The sequence below is a fragment of the Homo sapiens genome, chromosome 6 (genome assembly GCF_000001405.40).
Source record: "Homo sapiens chromosome 6, GRCh38.p14 Primary Assembly".
Taxonomy (NCBI): Eukaryota; Metazoa; Chordata; class Mammalia; order Primates; family Hominidae; genus Homo; species Homo sapiens.
Window position 1 is genome coordinate 131,711,318 of NC_000006.12, and position 17,093 is coordinate 131,728,410.

The 17,093-nt window shown below is 37.2% G+C and overlaps 1 protein-coding gene across 4 annotated transcripts in view; it reads left to right on the plus strand.

The window, feature by feature from the left end:
- The window catches only part of ENPP3 (ectonucleotide pyrophosphatase/phosphodiesterase 3), a 110,109-nt gene that overhangs the window by 74,016 nt on the left and 19,000 nt on the right, over positions 1-17,093 (plus strand). For all 4 annotated transcript variants that reach the window (NR_133007.2, NM_005021.5, XM_017010932.2 and 1 more), the window contains 5 exons: positions 7,355-7,421; positions 8,975-9,062; positions 10,910-11,088; positions 12,723-12,774; positions 14,729-14,883. Coding sequence is in view for 3 of the 4 variants with exons in the window: in NM_005021.5 (NP_005012.2) it covers positions 7,355-7,421; positions 8,975-9,062; positions 10,910-11,088; positions 12,723-12,774; positions 14,729-14,883 (541 nt within the window). In the remaining variant the exon portion in view is untranslated. The remainder of the gene's footprint in view (positions 1-7,354; positions 7,422-8,974; positions 9,063-10,909; positions 11,089-12,722; positions 12,775-14,728; positions 14,884-17,093) is intronic.

Sequence of the window (17,093 nt, forward strand, 5' to 3'; positions counted from 1 at the left end):
TTTTTGGTGAATACACTTTTAAAATTGCTGTCTTCTTCATGGATTAAACCTTTGATCATTACATAATCTCTGGTTTTGGTAGTTTTCTTTGCTTTATCTGATATGCATACAGACACTCTTGCTTTCCTTTCATTAATGTTTGTGTAATATATCTTTTTTCATCCTGTTAATTTGGCCTGCCCTGTATTGGTAAAATTCAAGTGAGTTTCTTGTACACAGCATACAAGAAACATATAAGAAAGGGTCATACTTTTAAATACACTCTTCTATTATCTATCTCTTGGTAGACCATTCATAATTAAATGAATTATTGATACTTTAATGCGTAAGCCTGACATTTTTTGTTTTCTCTATCAATTCTTGTTTCTCTGCTTATTTTTCATGACTTCATGTGGGTTACTTGAACATTTGTTTTAGAATTCCATTTTGTTATTTATAGTGTTTATAGTGTATCTTCTTTTTTATAGTTTTTTTGGTTGCATTTTATAGCTTAGTGGTTGCATTTTACAGCTTAGTGTATATTCATTTATATAAACATTATCACAGTCAATTGGTATCATCTTTATTCCAGTCTGAGTGAAGTATAGCAACCTTCTGTCATATTATGTCTCTTTACTCTATCAAATTTGTAGTATAATGGTCTTACATCCATTTAGAATAACACTAGACAATGCTATGATTTTTGCTTGAAACATCAAACATAATTTAGGAAATTAGAATCTATGAAAATAAAGTGAGCATTTTAAAGCTTCCAGAAAGAAATCTGACACAACCTGTTTTGTCTTTCATTTTTTCTTTCTTTCCTTTATATTCACCATAGATGTTATGATGCCCTATCTGTTAACTCCAATATCTGGATTATCTATGAGTTTGTTTTTAATAACTGATTTATTTCTTATCAGTCTGTTTTACTTGCTTTTTTGTATATTTGGTACTTTTTTTAAAGTATGCTGAATTTATGGATAATATGATATAGAACTACTCAAGAATTTTGAATTTTTTTTCTGGGCAGAATTTGTAATTACTTGCAGATCATCTTGCTGCTCTCAAGACCTAGTTTTAAGCTGTGTTATGATAATTATATTTTATTTTCCTCTTAGAACATATGCCTCACTCCTGGGATACTGCACCTCTCCTAAGAGAATTTTTAGAGTCCCAACTGAGTTTCTCAGTTGTTTGCCAACATTTCCCCATTTGGCTGGATCTGAACTCCAGTAGCTTTCCAAGAAGTTTTTAGTCCCTGATGATCTCTTATGCTTTCTGTATCCCAGCAGTTTCTTTCTCCAAGGTCTCCCCTCTTCTTAGCCAACTGTCACATAGCTAAGGAGTCACAGAAGGACCAAAATGGCATGTATACACCCATTTCTAGGTTCTTTCTCTCTCCCATATGGTACATTGACCCCCAATTCCTAACCAATTTAGCAGCTTTGAACTCTATTCATTGCTTCTTTTGGTTCCCAAGACCACTAACCCCTGGTTGGGTCCCATTTTCCTGTACCAAGGTCAGGAAGATGCCTTTCTGGAAAATCCTGGCAAATGTGGTACTAACCTCATGTGCCTCACCTTCCTGAAAGATCTCATACCTGACTTGCTACAACAATGTTCTTCAATGCCTGCTGATATGGTTTGGCTGTGTCCTTACGCAGATCCCATCTTGAATTGTAGCTTGCATAATTCCCACATGTAGCCAGCCCACCTGAACCATGCTCAGCAGCTGGTGAGAGGTAATTGAATCATGGGGGTGGGTCTTTCCCATGCTGTTGTTGTGATAGTGAATAAGTCTCATGAGATCTGATGGTTTTACAAAGGGGAGCTTCCCTGCACATGCCCTCTCTCTTGTCTGCCATGTAAGATGTGCCTTTGCTTTTCCTTTGCCTTCTATCATGATTGTGAGTTCTCCCCAGCCATGTGGAACTGTGAGTTCACTAAACCTCTTTCTTTTATAAATTACCCAGTCTTGGGTATGTCTTTATTAGCAGCATGAGAACAGACTAATACACCTGCCAAGAATTTTTTTCTATATTTTGGCCAGATTGTATAGTTTTTTATGGTGGGAGGGTGAATCTGACACAAGCTATTTGGTGTCAAGTAGCCAAGTCACATACTAATTTATTTTTAATGTAAAGCTATACAACCTTCTTTCTATACCTAAATTTTTAATTAAAATATAATAATTAAAATATTACTAAAAATTTCTTAATGATTTTATTTCATGGTGAAAGAGACTCAGTCTGGAATGTAAAGTATGTCTTACCAGTATTTCTCGTTTTGCAGGACATTGTCTAGGTGTCCCTCTCCCATGGATGATCATTAGTGTGGTTTATTTTTATGCTTTGAGAAAATAAGTCTGTAGTATGTTACTACATTCTACTATATAAAGATACACTTCAACTTATGATAGGATTATGTTCCAATAAACCCATCATAAGTTGGTAATATTATAAGTTGATGATGCTTTTTTTAAAAAAATATAGACTGTTGTCCTGTTGCCCAGGCTGGAGTGCAGTGGCTATTCTCAGGTGTAGTCATAGTACACTATATTCTCAAAGTCTTTGAGCTCAAACAATCCTCCTGCCTCAGCTTCCTGAAGAGCTGGGACTGACTATAGGCACACACCACTATACCTGGCTTGAAGATATGTTTAATAAACCTAACCTACCAAACATCATAGCTTAGCCTAGCCCACCTGAACCATGCTTAGAACACTAACATTAGCCTACAGTTGGGCAAAATCATCTTACACAAAGCCTATATTATAGTAAGCTGTTGAATATTTCATGTAATTTATTGAATACTGTACTGAAAAGGAAAAACATCATGGTAGCATGAGTACTTGAAATATGGTTTCTACTGAATGAATATCACTTTCCCACCATTGTACAGTTGAAAATCTTAAGTGAAATCATTGTAAGTTGGTGACTCTCTGCATTTATTTATTTTACTACTTTCCTTTTTTCTTTTAATAGTTGAAAGCCATCATAAGGTAAAATATTATTGCCTAAAAATACTCTGCTTCTCTGGAAAATAAAAAAGACAGAAGTTTCAAAGAAATCTTTCAAGAGATATAAAAATCATATGAAAATGAAATAATTAAAGAATAAATCTGTAATTATGCATGTTGTAAAATACAAATGGGAGGCTGGAAGAGAGACTGTAGATGCACCGTGAAAATGAAAGCAGAAATAAAGTAGGAATGGAAACATTTATATAGGAGTTGTGAGATACAGCATCATATTTTTGTTCTACACTAAATAGTTTTCATGTCTAGCAGAGGACTTGGAAATTATAAGCTACTCAACAGTGAATCTCAGAGCTTTCTCCATTCATCTCACAGTTAGTCTTATATAAATATACAGCTCTGTAATGATTATATATATCAATTTTTTTTCCAGTCAAGGACTTTTCCTCCACATGTTCATTTCCGTGAAAAATATCACTTGGTACTAGATGATGTGAATGGCTATGATTGAACTGGTTACTTAGGGTAATAGGTTGACATCTTGTTTCGGCAATTAAACAATAAAAAAGTTGTTCTTTATTAAGATATGAATCCATTTCTTAAAGAAATGGGTTCCATAGATTTCCATAGCATTAAGCATGTTGGTAATTCAAATGCCTCATCACTGAACAAAAATGCTCAACCTCAGAGACTATCCTTGCACATAAAAATTTTTCTTATTTTCAGTTGAGTATGGGCCAACTCATATCAAACATTATTGATAGAGATTGGAGCACCTGCTCTGGATCAGGGTAGGGTCCTCCACAGCTAGAACTGTGGAAAACATCTCAACAGTAGGCACTGGAATTGTGTTTTCCCCAGTCACAGGCCTTGGGCAAGAGGAGAGCTGCTATGGCTGTGGTTTCTCCTGGACAATGAGACTTTTAGCCAGCGCCAGCTTGATGAACTAGAACTGGTCTGTGTGTGTTATTTTTGGGTGACCCAGCCTACTTCCTTGAGACTGTGGTGTAGCAGGGCCTTCTCCATTCTACACATAAGCAGATCGCCAAGCATTTAAAGCACTTGCTCACATGGGCTGGCAGCCTGGGTTGCCCCTTCCTTCCTGTGCAGAGATCCTTGTGCAAGGGGACCATCTCCACTTCATGCCCAGGCAGACATCCAGGGATTCAGAGTGCCCATCAGCATGAATCAGCAATCTGAGCTGCTCCGTTCTTCTGGTGCAGAGATTGCGGTGTAGTGGGACCCTCTCTGCTCCACAGATTTCCAGGTATTTGGAGCATCTGCTCACCTGGAGCAGTAGCCTGAGCCACCCCATCCTTCCTGTGCAGGGATATTGGTGTAAGGAGACCCTCTCCACTCCACAACCAGGCAGATCTCCAGGCATTTGGAGCAGCCACTCTCCTGGAGTAAGAGATTAGGCTTCCTCTGGCACCCTTATGCAGAGAATTTGGGGCCAACTTCCACGCCGAGGCACGCCGCTGGACACTTGGTGGCTGCCCACTGGACTCTCCCTCAGAGTTGGTGCTAGTGCTTATTGTTGGGGGACCTGTAGATGGGCTTGCCAGGTCCAGCCCCACCCAGTGTTTTCTCGGTAAACAAGAATCAAGTATATACCCAGCCCCACTGGCTGCAACCTGCTGTTACCCATAAGCGCATTCTGGGTAACCCAGGCTGCCAGCCCATGTGAGCAAGTGCTTTAAATGCTTGGCGATCTGCTTATGTGTAGAATGGAGATACCGCACAGGAAGACAGACTTGGCAACTGATCTGGCATCAGGAGAGAAGTCTTATTCATCTCCCACCTGTGTCATTACCCAGCTGTGGTAGAGAACCCCAGCCTTGATTTCAACTGTGTTAATTAGACATGGGGAAGATAATGGAGAATTTGTTCCAAAATATTTCATATGGGACTTGGAAGTTGAGCTAACTTATGACAGATAGAATCAACTCATTTTCCAAGTGCCAGCTATCATTGTTCCATATGTAACTTCCAAAGCTAAATTAATGATTAGACATGAACATGAGGAGGTAGAGAGCAAATTTCCAAAGTTTTTACTTGGAAATAAATAGAAAAGAGAGTTTTCAAACAATATTTTAATATTTTGCTTCTGAATGAAATTTTGCAATATTTACTATAGTTTTTAAATTGAGCTGGATTAGGAGATGGAAATATTTTAAAAAACTAGATTTTTCTGAAAATAGAAAAATAACCATAGTACGAGCATTAGAAAATTTACCAAAAAACTTAGTCAAAAAACCTTTTTCTTTCTTTCATTAATGAACATTCTAGCTTTCCACACAGAATTTAAAACTTAATTACCTCCTACTAAATAATTCCATTAATATTGGGAAACCAAATATCTATGCAGTAAGAATAAAAACATTTATTTATTTATAATTAAAAAAATAGAGGCCGGGTGTGGTGGCTCATGCCTGTAATCCCAGCACTTTGGGAGGCTGAGATGGGTGGAACACTTGAGGTTAGGAGTTCCAGACTAGCCTGGCCAACATGGCAAAACCCTCTCTCCACTAAAAACACAAAAATATTAGCTGGATGTGGTGGCACATGCCTGTAGTCCCAGCTACTCGGGAGGCTGAGGCAGGAGAATCGCTTGAACCCAGGAGGCAGAGGTTGCAGTGAGCCAAGATCACGCCACTTCACTCCAGCCTGGGCGACAGAGCGAGACTCAGTCTCAAAAATAAATAAATAAATAAATAAAACCTATAGTTGTCATATGCCAGCAATTTTATTGGCATTAACTAAGATAAGGAAATGAAGTGACATCCTTAGGATATCAAACTTAATTTCCTTCTGAATCAGGACTTGTCTTGCTTTCCCCATTCCAGGTACTTACCTGGCCTCTCTTTTCTTCCCTCTACTGGGTAGAGTTGAGTGAGTGTGGCCTGGTCAGATTTGTGATTTATTTTTTAATTTGTGATTTATTTTTATTTTCTATTTAAACTGAATTAGAGTCAGTTATGAATTTTTTTAATGTTGATTTTTTAAAGACACTAAATTACTGTCCTGTTGTTAGTCGAGTCGAGTTTGTAAAAACAAACAGAAACCCTGCGGGGGGTGTGTGTGTGTGTGTGTGTGTGTGTGTGTGTGTGTGTGTGTGTGTGTGTGTGTATTTGCCCTTGGGGTGAGAGGTGAGGGTGGGGAAGAAAATGAGAGAATCTTTTAGGGCCAGCCTTTGGAAATAGGAGTCCTTTGTTCCCTTCAGAGATCAAATTTGACTCAGTATAACATTGTTGCTTTAAAAGATCTAGGTTCATTTATCGCTATTTTCCAAGTATGAAAAACAGCTACTTATAAAATTGTTAATACTGCTCAATTCAAAACAGTATTAAAATGTAGGCAAAAACTAATTAATTAAATTTGAAAATTTATTCAAATAATAAAGCTACAGCCTATGGAAGAAAATCACAAAGGTAAACATAATTATAATAATAATCTCTGAATTTACAGAATATACTAGCTTCTTTTTACCAAGTACAGTTATGTGTTGTATAACAACATTTTGGCCAACAATGAACTGCTTGTGTGATGGTGGTCCCATAAGATTATAATACTATAGTTCTACTATAACTTTTCTATGTTTACATGTGCTTAGATACACAAATCCTTACCATTGTGTTACAGCTGCCTGTGGTATTCAGTACAGTAGCATGCTGTACAGGTTTGTAGCTAGGAGCAATAGGTTAGACCACATAGCCCAGGTGCGTAGAAGGCTGTACCATCCAGGCTTGTGTAAGTGTACTCTGTGATGTTTCCACAATGATAAACTTGCATAAGAATGCATTTCTCAGAACATATTCCTGCCCTTAAGCAACGCATGACTGGATTATAATTAACTTGCCCTGCCTATTCTTTATTCATGCTTTCATATTATTTTCCTAGACATCTTCACTGGAAAACAGAAATTGATATTTTTCCCCAGTTGCAAAGATTTATTCCTAAAGCATTGAAATGCTAAAATAACATATTAACCAAACTATTCTTCAGCATATAGTCATTGATGTGTAAAGGTACACCCATGAGCTTGAAGACAAATTCATTTTTTTTTAAAATATGTACCTTTATTACTAGCCTTAGTCAGTATCTATCAGTCAGAGACTTTTGAATTCTATTTATAGATCCTGGAATTTTCCTTTCTTCTCTCGTACCCTTCTGTTTGTTCCATTATGGTTATGAATTTGAGCATGAAAATAAATATATTTATTCATTATTGATATAAAAATTTATTCTGTTGTTGATAGAAAAATATATTATTCTGTTGTTGATAAAAAAATTTACTTATAAAATTTACAGAAACTATATAAAATTAGTTAAATCTTACACTATGGTCTCATATCAATATATTGATCAGTGTGTAATAATATTTTTTCTTTATAGGAGTAAATCAAATACAAATTGTGGAGGAGGCAACCATGGTTATAACAATGAGTTTAGGAGCATGGAGGTAACTTACTGCTTTTTTTTTTAACTTTTATTTTAAGTTCAGGGGTACATGTACAGAATGTGCAGGTTTGTTACATAGGTAAACATCTGTCATGGGGGTTTGTCATACAGATTATTTCATTACTCAGATGTTAAGCCTAGTTACTGCTTTTTTAAAACAGATATTTATTGCACACCTATTTTATTATAGGCAATGTTCAAGGTTCTTGAATACATCTGTGAACAAAACAGATTAAGATCCTGCCCTCACGAAGCTTTTATTCTAAGAGGGGGATACAGACAGTAGGAATAATAAAATAATACATTATTTGTTATGTCAGAAGGTAAATGCTGTGGGAAATAAAGAAAAAGTAAAGGAGAGTAAGGGAGAAATTGGGAGTATTTTGGGGTACCCTGGGGGGCAGTAAGAAACTTTAAATAGGGTGGAAAGAGTAAGAGTCATTGAGTTGACATTGAGCAGAGATTTGAAAAAGGTAAAAGAATTCGCCTTACAAATATTCAGGAGCCAAGTGTCCCAGGCAGGAGAAACAGCCACTGAAAAGGGCCAAAATTGGGAGTGTGCCTGAGTCTATGAGTAGAATGCAGCTGATAATCCCCCATAGGTAAAGCTTTGCAACCTGGTTATCTCATCTACTTCCATTTGTAACACACACACACACACACACACACACACACACACACACATTCCTTTCCAAATAGAAAAAAAAATGTATTAGGCCTTTTATGAATATGTTTCCTTTTATTATAACATTGTCATGGTGAGTTACATCTTTTTGTAAATATTTGAAAACGATCTCTGGAGAAAGAGCTTTACTATTAATTGGGGTACTATGTAATAGTTAAATTAATTATTGCAAGAAAAATCTATGCTTCCAATTCTTTGATCATTGTCTTAATATATGTATGTATATATACACCCACACCTGTTACCAAAACATAATTGCTTATCTGTGTTTGATATTTTTCTTCTAATTGTTTAAGTCTAAAATAATTTGATCTGTTATAAATAATATAATCAAGTTAACATTAATTAATTCAATGTAAACCAAAATATTGAGGTCTTTTTATCCCAAAAGTAAAAGAGAGAAGTGTAAGTGGAACAGGAAGTTAGACTTCATCTAAAAAAAAAAGTTAACATTTTGTGTCATGTTAACATATTCGATTAACATATTTGATTAATGATATGAAACAATATGAAAAGATAATATGATGTTATATGATTAAATTTCTACTAAATATTGTGCCCATATTGCAGAATTATGCTGATATTGGTTGTGTGCCATTGTTTGTATTCTCCTACTTTATTGGCACATGAGGTGCTATGGAGGTGGGTAGAGACAGAAGTAAATACAGCACTGATTATATTTGGTTGGGATTGGTACAACATTGCAGGTGGAAAAATATGAAAATCATTTTCAAAACTAAAAAAAAATTCCTTACAGAGGCCTAATACAAATAGGAGAGTAGTTACAGAAGGAAAATTTTGTCTCTTCCTATATTTGTTTTTGAATTTGGATGACATCTAATAATAATAATCTGACTATTATGACCTAGGCTATCTTTCTGGCACATGGACCCAGTTTTAAAGAGAAGACTGAAGTTGAACCATTTGAAAATATTGAAGTCTATAACCTAATGTGTGGTAAGTATATTTAAATAAGTTCGCCAACAAAATATGGATAGTTTTAAATATATGTGATTTGAAATTGGTAGCAAACTGAATCCCAGAGGCTGGATGCTCTGTAGTGAGAAGGCAGAAAGTAAAAAAGATAAGGAAGAATTATTCATTATTCAGAATTATTCAGCTATAAGAGTGAATTCTTTTTGTTTTACTAGTAATGATAAACTTTATTTTCATTTTTGAGATGGAGTCTTGCTCTGTCACCCAGGCTGGAGTGCAGTGGTGTGATCCTGGCTCACTGGAACCTCCGCCTCCCAGGTTCAAGTTATTCTCCTGTCTCAGCTTCCCAAGTAGCTGGGATTACAGGTGTGAACCACCAGGCCCGGCTACTTTTTTTTGTATTTTTTGTAGAGATGGTGTTTCACCATGTTGGCCAGGCTGGTCTCAAACTCTTGACCTCAAGTGATCTGCCCACCTTGGCGTCTCAAAGTGCTAAGATTACGGGCATGAGCTACCATGCCCAGCCAGTAATGATAAACTTTAGATCTCAGAAGACCAACCTTTTCTATTAGTTAGTTACTAGATGATAATTTAATTTAATAAAACTTAGGTAAATAATACTTCCAACTTTTCAAAGCAAGACAAACTTACCTAAAAACACAAACATTTTCTTGTAATTACAGAGAGAAGCTCTCTGGCATAAAAACATGGGAAAAAAGTCCTAGCTGGATAGACACTTGTTATTATACTCAATGTTAAAAAACCTTAAAGCATTAGGATTTTAGGAAGCCTAACCTACCTTCCTACCTACGTGCTTGTTGCAGGCCATTGTATTAACAAATCATTTATTTACCTAGCAAGGCAATGAGTAAGCTGCAATTTCGCTGTTAGCTTTAGAAATTTGGACATAAACATGCTTACAACTCTCTCTCTTAATGTTGTCACTGGTTTGTGGTAATTGAATGTGACTTAGAGACCAAAAGGTATTCAGTTTTTAAAATGGTGTGTTGTAGGCTTAACAACTTACATTCTTGTTCCACATGGCTAGGTTTATGGTCTGGACTGTTGGCCCTTTGCAGAACTGGTTAAAAGGAACTACATAGGACTGCAGTTCCAGGAGAGATCTGTTAGGTAGCAGGCAGTCAGCAGGAATTACTTAAAAGGCTATGTTGGTGAAATATTTGTATGTTTCATAGAAACATACAAACATGCAAATTGTATGTTTCTATGAAACATACAAATACATTTTGTATTATGTATTTTCATAGAAAAAAATGAAGAAAAGCTCTCCTAATATTAAGCAAAATTCACTAGTTCCATTTTTTAAAAGTGTCTATCTTTAGAGAATAAATGTACTACAAGGAAGATTATAAATTATTTATTGAAACTTGCTTTTATTAAGAATATAGCTTTTTATGCTAGAAAATCATGATATGCTTACGAAACAAAGTGGTGATTTAAGGAAGCTTTTCTTTGGAGAAACAGAAACCATTCATGAAAGTTCCTCTGGCTCATCTGCAGCAACTGTTCCTATTCCTCATTTGTTTCAAGAGATGGAGTTTCAGTATGTCGCCTAAGCTGGCCTCAAACTCCCAGGCTCAAGCAAGCCTCTTGCCTCAGCTTCTTGAGTAGCTGGGACTACAGGTGCACTGCCGCACCTGGCTAGTTCTATTCTTTAGCAAGACTAGTGATTGAAACCATGGAGAAGAAAGTCAGTAAACTGAATGGCATATAGAGTACATAGCTTCGTTACAGCAGAATTTATTAAAGGGAGTGAAAGAGTAGGTGTTTGTTTCTTCCCATCTCCCACAGAGGAGTTGTTGCTTTCCAGTGTAAAGCTACTTTGAACTAATTTTTTCAAAAAACAGATCTTCTACGCATTCAACCAGCACCAAACAATGGAACCCATGGTAGTTTAAACCATCTTCTGAAGGTGCCTTTTTATGAGCCATCCCATGCAGAGGAGGTGTCAAAGTTTTCTGTTTGTGGCTTTGCTAATCCATTGCCCACAGAGTCTCTTGACTGTTTCTGCCCTCACCTACAAAATGTAAGTAACAACTTCATGCATCCATAAGAACGTAAAGGGGCAAGCTATTCTTAACCTGGGTAGCTGACAACTGGGGTAGCAACAACCAGGTTTGTGTTCCGCCTTGGATATTTACTTAGTAAATATATGTGGTTTCTCTGAACCTTACCTGGAAACGAGAAGTGAGAATGCATACATTGTAAGATTAAGTAGGGAAATATGCTTTATAAACTGGAAAGCACTGTTTGGTAATTGTTAATGTCATTATAAACTAACTGTCCTTCACCATTCAATACAGTAATCTTCGAGCTCTCTCCAACTTTCCTTATAAACCATTCTTCCTGCGGTTTATGAATCAGATGTTCATGCCTGGTTATTTAGAGCAGAAAGAACTAGGAGGGTGTAGGGATTGCAGCCTGCTGTTTGACATACCCACTAGGGTAGGTGCTGCGGGGTGTTCCTTTGGGTAGCAGGGAAGAATCTGGCTGACAGTTGACACTGGGAAGGTCTTTTTAGTAGATTAGGCCCTTGGATGAGTTCAAGAGCAGGACTTCAGATCCCAGGAGACTTTCAATAAGGTGAGGTTTTAGTGCTAGGAGAGGCCCCAAGGGCAAGGAGTCATAACAGCAGCTCAAAATATAAGGACCAAGCCTACTTGTGAGAATCAGAGCGCCTGGATGGGGTTGGGATTTCAGAGTGAAATTGGAGCCCCGTTATCAGGAGTCCTTAAAGCTAAAATTAATGTCAAGGGTCATTTGATGCCAAGTTCCAAATGTGTTTGTAGAACTAAATAAAAACACCTGCTGCCTCAGGTAAGAATTTTTCCTTATAGTCAGAAGTAGGTGAAGACATCACAATCTCTATTCTTCAAAATAGCATTATACCACAGAAATAAATAACCAACCAAAGGGGCTTTACAGGACAAAAGCTTAGCAAACTTCTCAATGAAGATCAAATCCACAGCAAAGATCAGAGTAAGGGTGTGGGTTTCCTACCGACTGCTCCTGATAACCTCAATCAAACTGCCATTAAAAAATAATAATAACATTACTTACTAGGTATATTATTTCTCATTTTAGAGATAAAACATGCTCAGAGAAGTTAGATAAATTGTTCGAGGCCAGAGAAGCTTGTTCTATCTGGCTGCAAACCCCAAGTTCTATGTAAAGAATGCCTCTTGCTATTCAGAGTGTGGTCTCAGGACCACCATCTGCATCACTTGCAAATTGGTTAGAGATGCAGAATCTCAAGCCCTACCCTAGGTTTACTGAACCAGAATCCGTATTTTAACAAAACCCTCAAGTGATTGTATGCATATTAAAGCTTAAGGAGCACTGGGATGTTGTCACCCAACTTAGTCATTGATTCCAGCAGTAATCAGAATGCTTTGCCCCATTATCAATTATCTTTTTGCAAATTCTCTCTCTCTCTCTCTCTCTCTCTCACACACACACACACACACACACACACAATAGGGAGCAGTAGTGTCTCTATATTTCTGAATAGTGGCAGAATCAGAATCTTAAGTTAGGCTAGCTTCTTTGGCAGTATAACATTTAATCGATTACTACAGAAACAATCTTGATTACCCCTTAAAACACATATTGTTGCTTTGACTTATTTCCTCCCCTTTCCCATCCCTCATTATCTTGCAGAGTACTCAGCTGGAACAAGTGAATCAGATGCTAAATCTCACCCAAGAAGAAAGTAAGTCAATAGAAAACATGTTAAGTCTTTGATATTTAGACCTAACAAAACACAATGTGGCCCTTTTAGGACTCTCCAAAATAAGCTGACAGAGGTTCCTGAACATAAAGATTTTATTGCCAATATACAAAAGGTAAAAAAAAAAAAACTCACAACAGATATAATGACAACAGTACAAGCATGGGGTAGTTCCAGTGGTTCCAGGAACAAAACGAATTCCTTGAAGAGGTTGTGACTCATCTGCAGTCCTCTGTTTCCTTTCCTTAGATGTAAGCAGACTGAGCTGCCTGGGTTTGAGTCCTACCTCTGGTGCTTCCTGGCTGTGTGAGCTGGGGCAAATCACTTAGCCTCCCTGTGCCTCAGTCTTCTCATCTGTAATAACCGTACTCACCTCATGTAGTTGTAAAAATTTAAAAAGTTAATACATGGAAAGAATTTACAATTGTGCCTGGCCTGTAGCAATATTATTATTACCTGTTATCTTTTAAGTATTCTTGTATTAAACTCACTCTGTTTCAGTTTCATCGCTTATAAGGGGATACCTACTTTATACAGTTGCTGTGAAGATTACATGAGTTAATATATGTGCCTGGTTTACAGTTAAGAGCTTAGTAAATGTACTAGTTGTTTTGATAATCTTATAATCTGCCAAGTGTTATTCCATGGCATGAATAGCCTGCAGGTTTTTTATCCATCACTAATTGATGGATTTTTAAGAAGCATGCAAGTAAAAGTAAATAAATACATTAGAATGTTGTTTTAGTCCATTCCAATTGCTATTAGGTTGGTGCAAAATTAATTGTGTTTTTTTCTATTAAAAGTAATGGCAAAAAACAGCAGGGCATGGTGGCTCACACCTGTAATCCCAGCACTTTGGGAGGCTGAGGCAGACAGATCACTTGAGGTGAGGAGTTCAAGACCAGCCTGGCCAACATGGTGAAACCCCGTCTCTACTAAAAATACAAAAAAAAAAAAAAAAAAATTAGTTGGGCATGATGGTGCACCCTTGTAATCCCAGTTACTCAGGAGGAGGCTGAGGTAGGAGAATCACTTGAACCCAGGAGATGGAGGTTGCAGTGAGCTGAGATCATGCCACTCCACTCCAGCTTGGGTGACACAGCAAGACTTGGTCTCAAAAGTAATGGCAAAAACCACAATTACTTTTGCTCCAACCTAATATAACAAGATGCCATAGACTGGGTAGCTTATAAACAACAGAAATTTACTTCTCATAGTTCTGGAGGCTGGGAAACCCAAGATCAAGTTGCCAGCAGATTTGGTTTCTGATGATGGCCTGATTCCTCATAAAGGGCCTTCTTCTCACTCTGAGCTCGTATAGTGGAAGGAGTGAAGGTGTCCCTAGGGTGTCTTTGATGAAAGCCCTAATCCTGCTCATGGGGGTCTTATATCATGCCTTAATCACCTCCTAAAGGTCCCACCTCCTAATACCATCACCTTTGGGATTAGGATTTCAATGTATACGTTTTAGAGACACATAAACATTCTGATTATAAGACATAAGTTTATAAAATTCCAACATCTTCCCTATGACAATTACTAGACTAGGTCATCTTTGTTACAAAGTATGTACTTTTGACTTTGAAGGTTTTACCTCTTCATGTATATCCTCTGAGCTGTAAAATGTAAGGAATCACAGAGGGCAGGCTTCAGATCCTTGCTTAGGCTCTTGCTTGGCCAACTTACTTATGTAAACCTTAGTTTTATAATCTGTAAAATGGAGTAATAACACCAATATTATTATTATTATTTTTAATAATTATACATTGGATTGTTGTAAGAATTGAAAGAGGTTAAATATGTAAAATATTTGTTAGAGTACTTGTCATATAATAAGCCATAAGAGAGTGGTAGTTATTATATGGGTAGTTATTACATGCAAAGAAGCATTTGCTAATTTCATGAACCTTTTTATTTTATGTTATTTTAATTTTAGTAACAGCAACAGTGAAAGTAAATTTGCCATTTGGGAGGCCTAGGGTACTGCAGAAGAACGTGGACCACTGTCTCCTTTACCACAGGGAATATGTCAGTGGATTTGGAAAAGCTATGAGGATGCCCATGTGGAGTTCATACACAGTCCCCCAGTTGGTAAGTTCCTGAGTCCATTGATCCATGCAGGCAAGAAATATTTATAATCCTTTCATATTCTAAGAGTTGAATTTTGTTTTGCAGCAGAGATTCAAAGGGAGGGAACTCACTGGCCTGTAGCTTGCAAGACAATGTGCAAGTATTAGATAAAGGTTGTTATAGGTGCTACACGGGTGCAAAAGAGGAACACATTGTGTTTTACCTGGAGAAAATGGAAAATGTTTACAGGCCAATTGGCCAATTGGTAAGGCAGGTAGAAAAGGACATTTTAAACAGAAGCAACAGGAAGTACAGAGGAATACTATTCATTTAAGATTCCCCATGTACATCATGGGTGCATGTAGAAGGTGATGATAACTAGATTATAAAGGGCTTTGTATTTATTTGATTATTTAACAAGTACTTTACTATTTGTTGTGTGTTATAGTAGGCACCAAATATACAAGGTGAATAGGCATAGTTCTTCTCTGAAGGATCTGGCACTCCAGTAAGTCAGACTAGACTTACATGGGACAAATGCATTATGTCACAGATCTCCAGGCTGAGGTTGAGGTCCACTTGTTTAAAGCCCCTTCCCTCTTCACTGTCTGGCATATTCTCTTGCACTAAGTAGTACCAGGACAGTCAACTACCCTTCAGGAAGAAAACAGTAGATCCCTACCTCACACCACACACAAAATTAAATTTCTGGTGGATTTGTAGACCTAAATAGGAACCGCAAGTCCATATTCCCTTTGTGCATATCTTTATGATCTTGTGATAGAGAAGGCTTTCTCAGGAGACAAGAAGAACAACATTAAAAATGCAGAGGAAATTGATTAGACTACATAAACATTAATGTATGACAAAATAACAAAGTTGTAGATGGAACAATATATCTGCATTGCATATAAGAAACAAGTTATGAGTATCCAGAACAGTAATTAGATTCAGAATAGCTAATAAATTTCCACCAATCAACAACAGAATGACAAGCATCTTAGTTACTACATGAACAAAGGATAGGAGCCAAGCAATTGAATCACAATTCAGGAATATGCAATAAGGAAAATGTAAATTAAAACAAAACTTAGGGCCAGGCACAGTGGCTTATGCCTGTAATCCCAGCACTTTGGGAGGCCGAGGCAGGTGGATTACCTGAGGTCAAGAGTTTGAGACTAGCTTGACCAACATGGTGAAACCTCATCTCTACTAAAAACACAAAATTAGGCAGGCGGGGTGGCATATGCCTGCAATCCCCGCTACTTGGGAGGCTGAGGCAGGAGAATCGCTTGAACCCGGGAGGTGGAGGTTGCAGTGAGCCAAGATCGCGCCATTACACTCCAGCCTGAGCAACAACAGTGAAAGTCCATCTCAAAAAAAAAAAAAAAAAAAAAAACAGCAACAAAACTTTAAAGTATGCCTAAAGTCAGTCCAAACACTTCTCTGGGGCAGGGATGATTTTATTTAATGCATCCTCAGCACAATAGAATTGTCCAGTAAGTGCTTATTGAATGAAACGCATTGAATGAATTAACCACAATCATTATTTTTAGACTTTTAAAGACAAAGCTATACCACCCACCACATGGGTAAATAATCAGGGAGCTGTTTCTGTAGAGAAAATCTTAGTATTTTAGATCCAGAGACTGATGACAAACTTATAGCTATTAATGTTTTTGCTAAGAGTACCACCTCTTTTATGGAAAGGAAATAATTGATTGCATAGGTTTACCTACTCTTCCTGTTCCAATTCAAAATTTTTGGAGAAAGATAAGCATATTTTCCTACTACTAATTAAAACTTTGTATATTCTGAAAGCCAGCTCTGTTGCTGTCAATGGTTCGATTGTGGTCACTGGTAACAGTACTAATGTTTGTTTGCCAGTGTGGGCAAATATTTTACCAACAGTTACCTGAGTTCATATGGACGGTTGGTGCAACATTACTTTCTTAATATGCACAGTGTTCAGTTCGTGATTTTCTTCAACACACAACATTCCACAAAATAACTTCTATTTTGTTATTGTTTTCGAGAGGAGTGGCATACTCAGGGTCAGTCCTATTATTTAATTTTCTATTTTGAAAATTCCAGGTATGAGGGGTTGTGTGGCATTAAAGGGAATGTTTATGTTTTTAGTACTTTTCCCCTGCTGTCTTGCATTCTTGAATTTTTATGAGCTTTGGCGGAAACCAAAGGCGGAGAGATTCTAAGTGGGCTCAGACTAGGAG